The sequence below is a fragment of the Homo sapiens genome, chromosome 4 (genome assembly GCF_000001405.40).
Source record: "Homo sapiens chromosome 4, GRCh38.p14 Primary Assembly".
In the NCBI taxonomy this organism is placed as follows: Eukaryota; Metazoa; Chordata; class Mammalia; order Primates; family Hominidae; genus Homo; species Homo sapiens.
In genome coordinates this window covers 105,985,936-106,002,751 of record NC_000004.12, presented here as the reverse complement: position 1 = coordinate 106,002,751, position 16,816 = coordinate 105,985,936, and the positions used below count along the sequence as shown (strand labels likewise).

General features: G+C 41.2%; 1 annotated feature.

Annotated features, from left to right (window-relative positions):
• Positions 3,587 to 4,370: an enhancer, noted in NCBI's record as "OCT4-NANOG hESC enhancer chr4:106919539-106920322 (GRCh37/hg19 assembly coordinates)". NCBI's record gives its function as "activates a minimal SCP1, AML or CMV promoter by ChIP-STARR-seq in naive and primed H9 embryonic stem cells {active_cell/tissue: H9 hESC(naive and primed)}" and the evidence as "EXISTENCE:reporter gene assay evidence [ECO:0000049][PMID:30033119]".

The following is a 16,816-nucleotide window of genomic DNA, read 5'->3' as shown; positions in this document are numbered from 1 at the left end:
ACCCCAGAAGTTTCCAGTATGTCTCTTACCAATTATAGCATCCTCCCTTCCCACTATCCTGATTTTTATTATAACTACTTCCTTGCTTTTCATTAGTTTCACCACCTATGCATGCATCCCTAAAAATCATAATTTAGTTTGACTAAGTTTTGAACTCTACATAAATGCAATCATACCATATTATTTTGAACTTGCTTCATATGTACATTATAGTTATAAAATCCACGTTTCCTGTAACTACAATGTATTTTTTCTCATTGCTATATAGCATTCTGTTGTATGGACATAGCACAATTTATTTATTCATTCTACTTTTGGTGGACAGTGGGTTGGTTCAGACATTGCATAATTATGAGCCATGCTGCTATAAACCTTCTTGTACATATATTCTTGGGCACATGTGTGTTTGTTTCCCTAGGGCATGAAATTCTCTAGAAGGGGAATTGCAGGAATGCACAGAGGGCATATATCATCACGTATACCAGACAATTTATTTTCCAAAGTAGTGGTACCAGTTTACAATTCCACCAACAGTGCATGAAAATGCCTTTGCTCTACATTCCCACCTATAGTGTTTTCTAAGTCTTCTACATTTCAGACTTGATTTTTATAAAAGTTTCCACCTCAACTTTTAATGAAATACAATTATGAAGCTTAGTATGATATCTTTACCATATGCCCTCTCCTCACAACCTAGCAGAGCAGACAACTCCCTTAACACTGTTGCCCACTTCTGCACAAGTGACAAAGTGGCCAGTAGGTTGGTTTCATTTAGCATGGATCCAAGCCTCTTCACAGTCTGAAACCTTCTCCTGTGCACATACTTCACTTTTTCCATATCTGTCTTAACATGTGGTTTCCAAAACTGAATATTGTCTTCCCCAAATGAGCTGGTGGGTGTGGAGAATCAGGCTCACTGAGAAATTATTCTGAAGCATCATAAAGATACGTCAAGGTACATACAGGCTACTTGCCAAGGAAACAGAAGGAAGACAGAGCACCATGAGTCTTTGTCTGCAAGATGAAGGTGGTCTAAGTGCTTAACTATTAAGAAGTGTTAGGTTTTCCCTTCCTTAGAGCTGAACTAAAAAGTAATGAGACTGCTGGAAAGGATCTATGAGTGTGTTTGGCAGGCTCAGTAAACAGCCAACCTTTACTGCCTCCACTTAGTAAAGCAGTGCCCTGCTGGCCACTTACCATTTGTAGAGAATGCAAGAATAGCATCCTCTTTGCTGCTCAAAAATATAAGTTAGAACACAACTGTGGTTCTTTAGATGATCATATGTTAAGTAATGCTGGTGAGACTCAGAAAACCACTTGATAGTTAATGGAGAACATTCATTCTGAAGCTGGACAAGCAAATAGAAAAACACATGTATTTCAAATGTTCTAAAATAAGGAAATCACTGCTATTTATGGTGCACACATAAATTGCTGGGCACTATATTAAGCGATTCCATACATTGTCGCATTTAACCTTCCCAACAGCCTGAGACCTGAAATGCTCTTCCCTTCCCCCTTTCTCCATGCCCACTGCAACTTAGCTCACTCCTACTTAGGGCTTAGCACTCACCTTGAGGATCTCTTCCTCCAGGGAGCCTCCTGTGACACACCAAACCCAGGTTGAATCTAACTCCCAAGCATTCTCATGAAAGCCCATGCTTCCTCTGTCTTAGAACATAACACACCACATTGTAATCTCCTTTTTCATCTCTGTTTCCCTATTAGATTGTAATTTTCAAGATAATAGAGACTTATCTGTTTGTAGTTTTAACTCAACATTATTTCAGCATATGGGCTAGAATGGAGGCAAAAAAATGTTGAATAAATGAATGATTATCCTGATTTTAGAGACAAAGTAGGAAATTAAGGCAAGATTGGAATCCTGGTAAGCCTGAACTCCCAAGCCTGTGTTCCTCATCCGCACAGTAGCCTGTTTCCCAGTAGCTGCCTTCTTTTAGGATCTGTCATAGGCTAGGCACCACTCTCATGCTTTATATACTGTGTCTATCTCAATCCACACACTAGGTCTGTGAGAAATGTCTCTCCTGCTACCCCTTTACAGATGAGGAAACTGAGGCTCAGGGGATTTAATACCTTGCCTTAGATCTCCTGTTAAGTCCAAAGCAAGGAGCTGAACGTCTTAGGCTGTTCCCCACTCATCTCCTGCTACCCGCTCCACCCCACAGCATTCCTCTCTGGACAAATTAGTTGTACAGAGTTTGGCTTTTGCAAAGGAAACCAGTGTCAATGGAGCAGAGAATGTTCTTTGGAATTGTGGGTAGAACTACCCTCAAATTCTTTCTTTTCATCTACTAATAACTCATGGATAAAAAACATCAACTGAGCAATGGCACATATTACCTAATATTAAATTAGGAAACAAATGGAACCACTGTGAGTATTAGATTGGGGCCCTGGAGTCAGATGGTCTATGTTCACACAAATGCACACCTATTCCTCCAGGGTTGTGCAACCCGGGCAAGTTTCTAAACCTCTGTAAGCTTTCGCTCCTTGTTTTCCAACCAGGTATGACAATGATGTATGTCTTGGGGTTGTGTGAGGATCGAATGAAGCAATACACATAAAGCCTTAACACATTGCCTGGCACACATGTGTGCTCATTAAATGTGGTTGGATCCCTTAGGATGCTTTTGTTGCCAGTAACAAAAAACCTTGACTAGTTTAAACAACAGAAAGTATTATGTCAAATAATAAGACCCAAACTCAGATTACTCCTTAATTCAGGTTGATTCCCCAAGGGCTTAGTGGCTCCTACACACTCCAGCCTCCAACTTGACACTGTCCACTTCCTCACAGAGTTTAATTTCCCCCAGTATACGCTGAATACTTCCAGACCTGGATCCAGGATTTGACTTCACCAGAAGGCTAAAGAGATGTTTTCATGTACTCCAAACTCCATTAACACTGCCACTCTGAGCTCGGACCAATTGTTGAGCTTTCTGCGAGTCTCTGTGGATGCGTACTGCTTTGTATTCACTTTCCTAGAGCAGGCACTAAGTAACACCAGATTGTTATTTCTGCTTCCCTTTCCCATCTCCTTTTGCTTCCTTCTAAGATCCAGTGCTTCTCAGACCCCACCTAGGAAGTTCTGTCCTCCCCGGAGAGCAGCTCCTGCTTTGTGGTGCCAACCTGAATTTCCAGCAAGGCCGTGCTCTAGGCTTTTCTAGATGGGAGGCGACTGGTCTGAGTTTCTAAGCCACGGGATGTAAGAGTAGTAATTTGTGGCACTCTCCCAGGAACTCTTGTCTTTTGAAATGGTTTTCATACATAAAGTGATAATGGTAGAAATTCCAGACACTGAGACAAATAAGTGGAGCGAACATTTTAGCACAGGTAAACTCTTAACTTTTTCTGTAAGGTTTGTCTTTTTCTTGCTTGCTTTTTTATTTTGATTTGTAGTCCTTATTTCAAAAGCAAAATCTCAAACCAGAAAAATTTGAAGACGCACAAAAACAAAAGCACGTAAGCACAAAAACATTCACAATTCCACATTACTAATAGTCCTTTCGTGTATGTATGTATGTGTATACATATTGTGTATGTATATATATTAATATATATATTAATGGTTTTTTGCTATGCAAATACTTTTTATTTTCAAACAGAGATTCGTACCCTATATTCGGTTTGGTAACTGCTTTTCTAACTAAGCAATGTAACATAAATATCTTTTTATGTTAACAGATACGATTCCTCAAAATAGATCTTAAGAGCTGCAGATTATTCCATTGTTTGAATGTACCATAATGTATTTCAGGAAGCCTCAGAGTGGGACAAAATGTTGTCATTACAAACAGCATCTTTTACACAGTTATGCAGGTGCATTCTTTGTTTTGTTCTTAAATCATTATCTAAGTGGGTACTTAAACTTCCAGCTGTGCAACTTTGAATAAGAAATTTCTTTTCTGACATCTGTTTTGTTCATGTTAAAATGGAAATGAGGTCTACCCCTCAGGGTCATAGAATTGATATCAATGAAAGAATATAAAAAGCTATAAAGCTTTAGAAAGCTGGAATGGTTACTCCTGGGTACAGTTATCTTAGAATATAAACTGAAATGATGAGTCCTTGAGGACCTCTCTGTTTGCTTGTGTTAACTCTGAAAATGATTGTGGATGGTGTTTCTTCCGCCTTATCAGCATGAGGGCATTTGCGGTGTTTTGAAGGCATCGTATTCATGTGGTTTCTCCCCAGTCTTTCTAGTGCTTCAGGTCCAAGATAACTCGTTTAAGTTATGTTCACAGACCAGGCTCATGGCAGATGCCCTTTTCCTCCAGAAATCCCAGGGTATGAGCTGACTTTGAACGGCACCCTTGACTAATTTTTAACCTTGCAGTACAAGCCATAAGTCATTGTCAGAGGCTGGATGGATTGATCTGGAATGTAAAGGTTTATTTATTTACCAGCTCCCTAACGTGCAGGGTTATGTTACCAGTGGTGATGGTGTTGTCTTGCCATGCAGGAAATGTGCACCCTCTTTGAAACCAAGGCTTAACAGGAGGATAATATTCTGATCCCAGTGAGTGGTGATTTTCCACAGCAGCAAAAACCTTTAAAGATACAGTAGTGGCAGGCAGGCTTACTGACCAGAAGCTAAAGCGGAATACAGCTTTGAACATTAGATTTTGCCTTCACTTCCTGAGCCTCTTTCCTCCCCGCCCTCCCCCACCCCCCCAAAACACATACTCGTTCACTTTCCAAATCCTTCTTTTTTTTTTTTTTTTTTGAGACGGAGTCTCGCTCTGTCCCCCAGGCTGGAGTGCAGTGGCGCGATCTCAGCTCACTGCAAGCTCCGCCTCCCGGGTTCACGCCATTCTCCTGCCTCAGCCTCCCAAGTAGCTGGGACTACAGGAGCCCGCCACAGCACCCGGCTAATTTTTTTTTGTATTTTTAGTAGAGACGGGGTTTCACCGTGTTAGCCAGGATGGTCTCGGATTTCCTGACCTCATGATCCGCCCGCCTCAGCTTCCCAAAGTGCTGGGATTACAGGCGTGAGCCACCGCGCCCGGCCTCCAAATCCTTCTTTTAAGAACCCTCTCAAGTCCTTTATCTTTCATATATCTTCACTGATCTCTTTCCACCCTCTTAGATATCTCTGTCCTCTAAATTCTTTCAGCACTTAACAGTCTGTGCTACGCACAATTGACACTTAATTGCGAACTTCCATCTCTTCAAATACATTTGGTTTGTCTCCCCAAGGTCATGTCCACTTCTGTCTCCAGAAGGTTTAGTCAGGTGAAGCACAGGGTTAGTGCTCAGCCACTTCTTTGGAAAGATTGATTCAAAACAGGACTGGCTCTTTTCCTTCTTGCTTAAATTTCATTCAACCAACATTTATCAAGGGCCCATGTGTTCCTGGCTCCAGACACAACACTTCACAGATGAGGGCAATTTCAGTCACTTCTGAGGCCATCAAATAATGGAGAAAACACCACTGAATATACGACTTGCTAACTGTACAGTGCACGTCTAAGTAATATTAAAACAGAGGATTTTTTGTCATTTGTCCATCCCTCTGCTATTTAGTGGTGCTCTTCCACATAGAGGGAATGTGAGATAACAATAGACATATAATCTCCAAGAAATGCTGCTGGAGGACTCTAGCATAGATAGCCACAGTATTAACCCCAAGCACAGGGAGTCAAAAAAGGAAACCAAGGGTCATTATCACACTACAGGGCGATAGGAACTGGCTGACTCATCAGGTTACTCTCGCACGCTTGTTAGGTGACCATCATGCACAGGCGCTGCCTGGCTGCTGACCCAGTGGTGGCCGAGACAGAAGGATCTGCCTCCCTGGTGCTCAAAGGTGCTGTCACCCCATACACGTTTCATGTACTTATAAAATTGATGTCAGTGTTTCACAGCAGAGTCGGGTCTACATTTTATCACTTAGCCACTCTGTGTATAGGAAATGCATTTGTATAGCAAACCTAAATCTTTCCTGCCATAATGTCCTTCTCAGATATGAAGCCGGTGCCACAGAATTCTGGGCACATGGTCGGCACCTCAGTGAATATTTACCAAATGAATAAACAAAGAATAAAACCTTTTAAAACAAACTTTCACTCTAGAGAACAAAAAGGTTGCTGAAGTAATAATCATTGTCTTCTTGATTCTAGAATCCTTCACTATAAATGCTACATATTAGGATTATCTAATTTTTTAATGAAGAAATGAAGGAGTATATTTGCATCTTGAATCTCTGTAATATTAGTGATTTATAATAATAACAACTAAGAGATTACTGAGACCAACTCTTCTTTTACCGAGGATGTTCTGGCCCAGAAGAGTTAAATGTCCTGCTCGAGGTGACACAGATATTTTTAAGGCATCAAAATTACAACCCTTTGTGCAAAAAGCTATAAAAATCTTTTGTATTCCTCAGTGACAGACACTACAAAAAATGCATTGTTCAGTAAAATACTTATATGTCAAGATCCCATCATAGTAACAGACTCTAAGCACTTAATTCCTTTAGTTGTATGGAAAAGTTTAATTAAGAGATTCTCAAGGAATTCTTTTTATTAAGATAACTCGCCATACAGTAAAGAATCTACCAAATAAATAAAAATTCACCTAAGCTTTCTCGGGTTGGTCCCCAAAGTGCTTGCTGTGAGAAACAATTCCTTGTTAGTGCAATACAATACAGCTCACAAATCTTACTTTAGTTATGTGGTCTGTACCTGGAGCATTCAATGTGTATAGGAAAATGGTAAACTTCTCAACTTTGTCCTGGCAGGTTAGTATCATAAATCTAACCATGAAAAACATTTTGTGCATCAAGGAAAATTATAAGAGTAATATCAACATAGCTGGTTTAACAGCTGTTGTTAGTTATGAATAATTACTTTTTTTATTTTGCAAAGTATGTTTATTTATTTAGAACACATTAGCAGACATGGAGGAAGCATAGAGCAGTAAGACACGGAAGCTGTCCCCAAGGAAAAGGCTCTGTGTTACGGGGACAGAGCGTTGGCTTAGGCCTCCGGTACACTTTACTGCTCCATGTAACTAAAATGCCAAGAGACAATTCCAGCTTCCAGTGAGACTTGATCCAATGGCTCACCCATGTCTCCAAGGACTGAGGTTCTCTCTATAGCTCTCTGTTTTCCATGGGGTCAAATCTATCCTCAGGCTCCAAACTTCTCGTAACAGCATCAGATACTCTCCTGGTGGGGGCAGGTGCTGCCTCCCTCACCCCACACCGTCAAGGGAAGGAAAGCCTCTGATAACTTTCTTAGCAATAATTGGAGTCTACTTGGTTTTGACCAGCTCGAGAGGAGGGCCAACATTTGGACCGGTCACCAGAGCAAGGGGAATGCTCCAAGGGGCGTGGGTCTGTGTCACCTGCTTGTGCCTGAACCACTAACTACAAATTAATCAGCTTAAGCCAAGCAGGGCAGGACCTAGGGTGGGGACAGCTTCAGCCAAATCACTCTCAGGGAGTGGAGAAAGGAGAGTTCCACCCAATTAGCCACAGGCTTCTGTTGTCTACAGTAAGGAAAATGGAAAGTAGGGAAGCAATCTACAAATGTCTGCCAACAAATGCCCAAAAGTAACCTCAGGGTGAGATAGAAGTGAAGATTCCCTCAACCAGGAGCTGTTTGTGCACCTCAGGTGACATTTTTTTACTGCTGCAGACAACCAGCCATGCTGCATGAGCCACTGTGCAGTATTCAGGTGTGAGTGGGTTGCTTCAGCTTTCTCCTGGAGGACTCATTCTGCAGGAAGGCTGTTGTGCTATAAAAGATGTGTTTCACTCTTACTGAAGTGACAGAAGCTAGGAACTCAAAAGCGAGCTGCAGTCAGAGCCATCTGAAAAAAGTCAGACTTGGGGGCTCTTGCCAGGACCAGAGCCCAGTCAATCTATGTCCCACAGGACGCACCTTGGCAGCATCTTCTTCAATACATAATAATCGTATGTGTGTAATATTGTCACAGAGGTATATTAGAAAAAAAGAGAGAGAACATCTCAGAGAGAGAAGCAGTATAATCATGGTGAAGAGCTTAGAAATGGAAGCTGAATGGCTCAGCAGCTAGTCCAATCCATGGCAGGAATTCACTAGAGGCCATGTTCGTACCTGGGCTCTGGAGTCAGTCAGTTTCACAGGTCACTAACTGTGTGACCTTGGGCAACTTACTTAACCTCTCTGGCCCCAAACTTTCTCCTCTATAAAATCGTAAGAAGAATAATCCTTATTCTTAGTGCATCTTGCTACACTTCAGCTGGCTCCTATGTAAACAAGTGAGTGAATGTTTTAAATAGCAGTTATTAATTGCCCTGTGGATGGATATAAGAGAGGTGGTATTATTCCTGTGACATTGAAAAACATTGGGAGGTGAACAAAGTTGACTGAAACTTGCACAATGTAACAATTTGGAGATGAACCCAAACCTGCTCACTCCCCGTGCCTATGAACTGGTTGCTGTGCTGTTTCCGGGAGGACGGGCTGTATCCTGAGGACATAACGCTTGTTGGACGTGACCCAGGACTGGCAGAAGTAAACTGACAGTATCTGTTTATAATCATCTCACCATTTCATGCTTCATTAATAACCACGTTTTCCACTCTAAGAGTGTGGAAGTCAGAAGAATCAGCCCCTGTGTGAAGCAAAACCTTTCCTTAGGAAATTTTTCAATTATCAGGAGAAATGCTCCCAGACTCTGGATCTATTTCCATTGCAGGAGGGTCTTCTCTTCACCTATGAAGATAACTACACATTCTAAACAAAGCCCTGAAATGTGGCCAGTCTTGTAGAATACATAGTTTGGGTTTGATTTCTGGTTACATCCTCCCTATGTGACTTTGGACAAGTTATTCAAACTCTCTGAGCATTAGTTCATTTCCTCATCTATAGAAGAGGTGTGGACAATAATACCTTGCAGCGTGGTCGTGGGAATAAGTTTGATGAAAAGTATTTCACTTGATTCCTGGCACATAGGATTCGTAAGTGGTGGCTTTATTTGTTGAAGCCACCTTTGTTACTGGAATTTTGGAATTTGGGCTCAGAAAACTATATTTTAAACCTAAAAAGTAAATAAATTAATTGATAGTAAATGTACTGTCAATTAAATATGTATTTAAACTGAAAAGTATTTAGTATTGTTGCTTTAAAAGTATCAGCTTGTCAGGGTGCCCAGGTATTGTTTTGAAATATGGTTGATGGGTTGCTGGTCAACAAGACATAAATGCTCATGGAAAACATGGTTCAAGGAACCAATCACAGGATTTCTAAGAGGAGACAATCCTAAGGAGTGCATTTGAATGTTCTGTCCATGTGACCCCACGGTCCGCCAGCCATTCTGATTACTGTGCTTTAAAATGGTGCTGTCTGTATGTAGGCGCAGCTGCCTTTTGCAGTAATGGTGCTGACATAACAATCAGCAAAGCAGCATGTGGGTTATCGGGAAGAGTGTGAACTTCCGAGCCCACCTGCTGCTTACTAACTAGTACCTTAGTGACTCTGACCAAGCTGTTTAAACTCTCCAGGTCTTAGTTTTCTCATCAATAGAATGAGCAAAATGATATTTCTCCATAAAATTGTTGTGAAACTTAAATAAGACAATGTGCCAACTGCTTGGCCCATAGGGAGCACTCAATAAACAGTTATTTGTGTGCTTTTGTGGTTTTCTAATTTTCACTGGTTCTTGGCATGTGTTGGGTTCATTGGCTTTGTCTCTGTATTACATTTTCTAGATTCAAAGAACATGAAAAATGTCTAAACTCTTTCCCAAAACTGTGTCTTGTCCTATTGGTTAATTAATAATTTTAGTTTGGATGCCAGAGGTTTATGCTCTTTAGGAATCTGAGTCCTGTTGTCCCAGATGGGGTTTGAATTCCCCATGCCTTCTGACTCACAGGTATTCTAAGATTCTCCTGCTTCAAAGGTGAACGGTCATGGTCTTTTAACCACTAACCAGTGAGTTTCTTTTTCCTAGGCCTCTTTCTTGAAGTGGATTCAAGAATGTGCCTCATGAGGCCATTTCCACATACATGGCTTCCTTCATCCTAGAGAATCCCCAGTTCTTTCCTGGGCTGATCTGTGTATATCTAGGTGAGATGACTGGACATGCCCATTTGTTTGTTCCCCAAATGATCGCACTATGAAAACAGAGGATAAAAACCCAAACGCTGCTCTTTCATTTCCAAACTAGCTGTAGGAATGAATTTTCATTGTATGTTGATCCTGTTGCTCTGAAAATAGCAGGTATATTTTATACATGATATAGGTGTGCTATGTGTCATAAGTGCTAGACATTCAAAGAGCTAGGTGTTTGGAGTCAAACTGTAGTGTATGTGTTGGAATACATACACATATGTGTGTATTACAAATATATGAACATTAGCCAACCTAAATGAGCCACAAGTAATAATAATAGTTATTACTATTATTAATGGTACATTACTATTGTTATTACAAATATAATTCCATTTATTATTAATCTTAATAATACTGCTAATAAGAAAAATGGCTTCCTATTTATTGAATGCCTCTTGTGGCTAGGTGCTATGTTAAGTGCTATACAAATGTTACACTCCTCAAATGGATCTGCACATAAACCCTGAGAGGAAGTATTGCATTTCTTATTTAGGAAAAAGAAACAGAGTCAGAGAGGCTGACTAATTTGCCCAAGGTTACAGTTGGCAATTGGCAGAGCTGACCGTTAATGGGTTGTGGGGAAAAGCCTGTGATAAAGTAGATAACGAGAGGCCTCTTGGGCCCATGAGCCAGGAGGACATGAAGAAGGATGGGGATGAGGTACCATCAGGCAGAGTCAGTGCCAGTAGGGGCAGTGTCAGCCCCTGCAGCTGCTTCTCCCTCACTCTACCCGATACACCCCGAGGCAAACACAGTTCTACAGAAGAACGGACTGGACCAGAGAGACAGAGTTCAAACTGTAGGTTCTGCAGGAGTGCGGCCGCTGCTCGAGATGACACTGTCATGGCAACAGGGCCCAGTTATTCTACTGATGCTCTGGGAGCTTATAGTGGCCTCACAGAAGTCGTGAGACACATATATCATTTCCTTTGGGTGTGGGGCATTCTGTTCAATAAGCTTGCTCCCATCACCAAAAGGAAATGTCACCAAAAGGATATAGACTCACCTTTCCTTCTCTGCTTGCACAAGAATATTACCTTTGCTGAGCTAAAACCGAGGCAAATGCTAACAGGAGGTTGGAGGGGAGTTCTTTTTGATGCGCACTTTGGGTGGAGCAGGATGTTTTAGATTCTGTGTAGATAATCAGTTCTCTACATCAGGCCACTGGACATCTAGGTTCCTTTTCCGTCTTTTTAATGGAATCTTTGAGTTCCAATATAGAAAGTGGTCACCTTACTGAAGTCTGAGTTGGTCAAAGTCATGACTCTTAATTTCGAGTATATGACAAGTTAGGGACACGGTTTTGCTCCTACCTCAAATACACTGGAGACCACAGCACTGAAGCTGAGTCAGCTCTGGCTCCCTCAGGGATCATGACCAGCTGTCCTTTTCTGTCAGCCTGACTCACTGGGGATGTCCACCTTTTGATTCTCTCATGCTGTGCCCTGGATACTCACCAGGCCTGTTTTAGCAGGTTTCACAGGCCTGGCGTCCTGCCCAGAGTCTCCACCAGAGCTTTGGCCTAGCTCCTGTGCTTGGCTGAAAGCAGGAAGAACTAAACTTGGCCTGGTGGCCCACATCCCAAGTGCCCTCATTTCACAGGACATCCGGCTCTTTGTCTGCCTTCCTGATCAGGCCCCATGAAGTTGCTCACAAGCTCTGCTGCCCACAAAACCCCCACTTGCTTCCCTCAGGTTTTCTTCCCTGTGAGGGAAAAGGGAGAGGAGAGCCAGCTCGATGCTCGTTATTAGCATTTAAGGACATTAATTCATAGCACCCATCTCTCCTCTGGATAAGGAATAAACTGAAAAAGACACAGTCAGAGACCAAAATGCCAGTTGTATCACTGCTAAAGCAAGATTGCAAAGGCCTGGACCTTTACCCAAGATGGGTAAAGGCATCATATCATTTCCTTTGGCCCTGGGGCATCCTGTTCAATAAGCTTGCTCCCAGCCCACCCTTGACCCAAGAGACGTTCTTAGCCAGAATAGCTGGATGATTACAGAACTTCACCACCCTCCCCCTTCCAGGGGCAAAGTCTTTTCTGAGGGTTTACAAGATGGAGGAAACCATGAGACTGCATAGGGCTGAGAGAGCCAGAAGGAAGGCTCAATTAGCCTCACTCAGTTGGGACTCATAGACCAAGAGTGTGACCTGATACCTGGACATCTCACCCAAGAGAGGAGAGAGAATGCAGCAACTTCCCTGATCCTTCAGGGAAGGTAGAAGTTCTGAAAATCATGAGCTGGTGGGAATCCAGGGAAAGGGGAAACAGCACTCACCACCCTTCCCCATTCTGAACTCTCATCTCTATACACATGTAAGAGTTGTAAGAACAAGCAACCAATGGGAAGACTAGGGGCAAATGAGAATGGCAAGGAAGAGAAAATAGGCAGGGAACAGGGGTGTAAGGTTAGAAGGAAACATTAGAAATAGGAAATATATTGAAAGGTAAGTTAGAGACTGAAGTATCCATTATCTTGTTGACATTTTTTTAAATGACTAAACATTATGCACTCTGACCAAAACACACTTAGGTTATAGAAGGAGTAAAAGAGGGGAATGGCTGGCATTCTTAAGTCACAACTACTCACTCAGAAATATACATTTTATGAGGTTTGTTGAGACTAGAATTTTTTTAAATGACTAATACTTGTTTATTGGAACAGTTAAGGGTTTCATTGGATATAAACTAAGATCGCATCTTCATTATTTGATTTGTTCAGGTTTTAAATTAACCAAATAACTACATTAATCCAGTTTTCAATAAGGCATTTTTCATCTCCTTTGAAAATGCTGGGAGTTTAGAGGTGGCATTGCCAGGTCAAAGGGAAATCTTACACTTGGGACAAAATAGCCAGTGACCTCATATCAGGAGTTGCCAACCACTCCCTCTAATGGGAGGATTTCCTTCATGCCCGAGGAAATCACAGGTTTTCTATAGCAGAACAGGAGGGTGGGAATCAAGCCAGTATTTAACAGTGAGTCTTAAAAGGCCTTTCCAGGGGTGTCCTAACAAGGCCACACAAACTTTGGAGCAAAAAAGAACTTGTTTAGGACAGCTGGCTAATCTTCTTGGATTAATCAAGTTGGAACCAACTTGACAAGATACAGACTTGTTAAGAATACCAGTGCACACTTGACCAAACCCCCCATTAATGCTATTTTTAAAAATACCTTGAGACTTAACATTTTAATAAAAATAACTTGGTATTCTTTGCATAGGAGTGTGACTCATTTAAGGAGAAAATTTACGGCAGCCAGTTCCTCAGTGATATCATAAAAATATGAATAGAGGGACATTTGCTTTTGGATATAGGGTAAAAGCGAGCACATCAAAGTGGAAACAGTATCTTGCAAAGTATTCCTCCCAGGATTCTCATAGCCCTGTGAAAATGCGTCATATACAGAGAAAGTTTCTCATGATTTTAGAGGAGTTAGAGGAAGGATTCTAAGTTGTTGACTCCCATTCGGATACTTCAAACACAGATCATATTTAAGAATATTTTAGGGCAGAACAGAAGATACTTTTTTATATACAAATCAGATGTATTTAAATGGACCATTGTATGACATGTACATGACTATATGCATATGCCATGTATGATTTTAGAACCCATCTTGCTGGGGTCTTTTCTTTACTGGCACTGAGGAAACAAGTGGTCCTGTTGGGGAATCCGATGTGGCAAGGAACTGTGGGAGACTTCAAGGAGTTGAGGGCAGCCTCCGGCCAGCAAGAAAATGAGTCAGATGCAAGGAATTGAATTATGCCAACAACTGCCTGAACTTGCATGTGGATCCTTCCACAGTTGAGTCTTGGATGAGGCCACAGCCCTGGCTGATACCTTGATTACAGCCTTGGAAGATGCTGAAGCAGAGAATCTACTGACACCATGCCCACCCAGACTCTTAACTCACAGAAACCATGAGATAATAAATGTGTGTTATTTTAAACTGCTGTTTGTGGAAATATTGTTAGGTAGCAATAGAAAACTAATGTAAGCAATCTCCTATAGTGGATTTCAAATATAGGGTATTCAGTCACTGGTCTCAGAGGCTATCTATAAGGAAATCCATGAAGGAATCAAATGAGTAGATGATGGTGTAAATATCTAAAATTACAGTTAGAATAATGCCCATGTCAAACTCAAACAAGTACCTATTCACCACATAGACTGTAGCAACGTTGGGCATTTAGAAGGCCTTCATGGGCTTGGAGAAAAGCATACCTTGGAGATACAGAACTCTCTATTCCTTAAAGGCCAGAACAATAGAGTCTCTACAATATGTTCTCATCAAGCTATCAAGTGATATTGGAAAAAGTCCATTTCCCACATACTTCTTATTAGACCAAAAAGATACCTTTAAAAATTAGCCATAATGCAAATGTAGAAACAGTAGTTACATCTTTCTCATTTCTTAAAATAAAGAACAGACTTCTTAAAAACTGAGGCTCAGAAATAACCCAGGGACAGAAAGATAAATATCACATGTTCTCACTCATATGTGGGAGCTAAAAAACAAATTTGAGGCCATGAACAGTGAGAGTAGAATTGTGGGTATTAGAAGCTGAGCACTTTGGGAGGCTGAGGTGGGCAGATCATGAGGTCACGAGTTCGAGACCAGCCTGACCAACATGGTGAAACCCCGTCTCTACTAAAAATACAAAAAAATTAGCCGGACATGGTGGTGCACACCTGTAATCCCAGCTACTCAGGCAGCTGAGGCAAGAGAATCGCTTGAACCTGGGAGGCAGAGGTTGCAATGAGCTGAGATCATGCCACTGCACTCCAGCCTGGCTGACAGAGTGAGACTCCATCTCAAAAAAAAAAAGAAGCTGGGAAGGGTACGGAGCGAGGAGGATGGGCAGAGTTTGGTTAATACAAAATTGCAGCTGGGTAGGAGAAGTGAGCTCTGGTGTTCTGCAGTACTGGAGGGTAAACTATAATTTATTGTATAGCCTCAAAAAGCTAGAAGAGAGAATTTTTGAATGCTCACAAGACAAAGTAACGATAAATGTTTCAGGTGATGGCTATGCTAATTACCCTGATTTGATCATTACACATTGTATACACATATTGAAATACCATTCTGTATCCCATAAATATGTACAAATATATTCAACTAAAAAGAAAAAGAAAAAAATTATTTAAAAAACTCCAGAACTTCAAAGGTTGTGTTTTTTTCTTATTATTTGTCAGCAACTAAAATGATGGGGGTGAAGAAGTTCAACAGAGAAGAGAAAACTGCTTAAGGTGCAAATTTCTTTACCCTATTTTGTATCTGCTTCTCAAGCATGCCTTTTCCAGGTTAGTGTGCTGCCAGAGCAGGAGGTCCTTTGGAACAATCCAATACAACTGAGAACAGCTGTGAACAGTGCAGCCCATGGCAATGACAGAGAGACACACAAGCCCAAGAGACCTGAATCCCTCACTCCTCTGTGGGAGAACAAATAGTCACATTTTTTTCCTAACCTGAGAGTAGATGTATTACAGAACTTGGCTGCATTCGACGACATGATTGTATATCTAGAAAACCCCATTGTCTCAGCCCAAAATCTCCTTAAGCTGATAAGCAACTTCAGCAAAGTCTCAGGATACAAAATCAATGTACAAAAATCACAAGCATTCTTATACACCAACAACAGACAAACAGAGAGCCAAATCATGAGTGAACTCCCATTCACAATTGCTTCAAAGAGAATAAAATACCTAGGAATCCAACTTACAAGGGATGTGAAGGACCTCTTCAAGGAGAACTACAAACCACTGCTCAAGGAAATAAAAGAGGATACAAACAAATGGAAGAACATTCCATGCTCATGGGTAGGAAGAATCAATATCATGAAAATGGCCATACTGCCCAAGGTAATTTACAGATTCAATGCCATCCCCATCAAGCTACCAATGACTTTCTTCACAGAATTGGAAAAAACTACTTTCAAGTTCATATGGAACCAAAAAAGAGCCCGCATCGCCAAGTCAATCCTAAGCCAAAAGAACAAAGCTGGAGGCATCACACTACCTGACTTCAAACTATACTACAAAGCTACATTAACCAAAACAGCATGGTACTGGTACCAAAACAGAGATATAGATCAATGGAACAGAACAGAGCCCTCAGAAATAACGCCTCATATCTACAACTATCTGATCTTTGACAAACCTGAGAAAAACAAGCAATGGGGAAAGGATTCCCTATTTAATAAATGGTGCTGGGAAAACTGGCTAGCCATATGGAGAAAGCTGAAACTAGATCCCTTCCTTACACTTTATACAAAAATCAATTCAAGATGGATTAAAGACTTAAATGTTAGACCTAAAACCATAAAAACCCTAGAAGAAAACCTAGGCATTACCATTCAGGACATAGGCATGGGCAAGGACTTCATGTCAAAAACACCAAAAGCAATGGCAACAAAAGCCAAAATTGACAAATGGATCTAATTAAACTAAAGATCTTCTGCACAGCAAAAGAAACTACCATCAGAGTGAACAGGCAACCTACAAAATGGGAGAAAATTTTCGCAACCTACTCATCTGACAAAGGGCTAATATCCACAATCTACAATGAACTCAAACAAATTTACAAGAAAAAAAAACAATCCCATCAAAAAGTGGGTGAAGGACATGAACAGACACTTCTCAAAAGAAGACATTTATGCAGCCAAAAGACACATGAAAAAATGC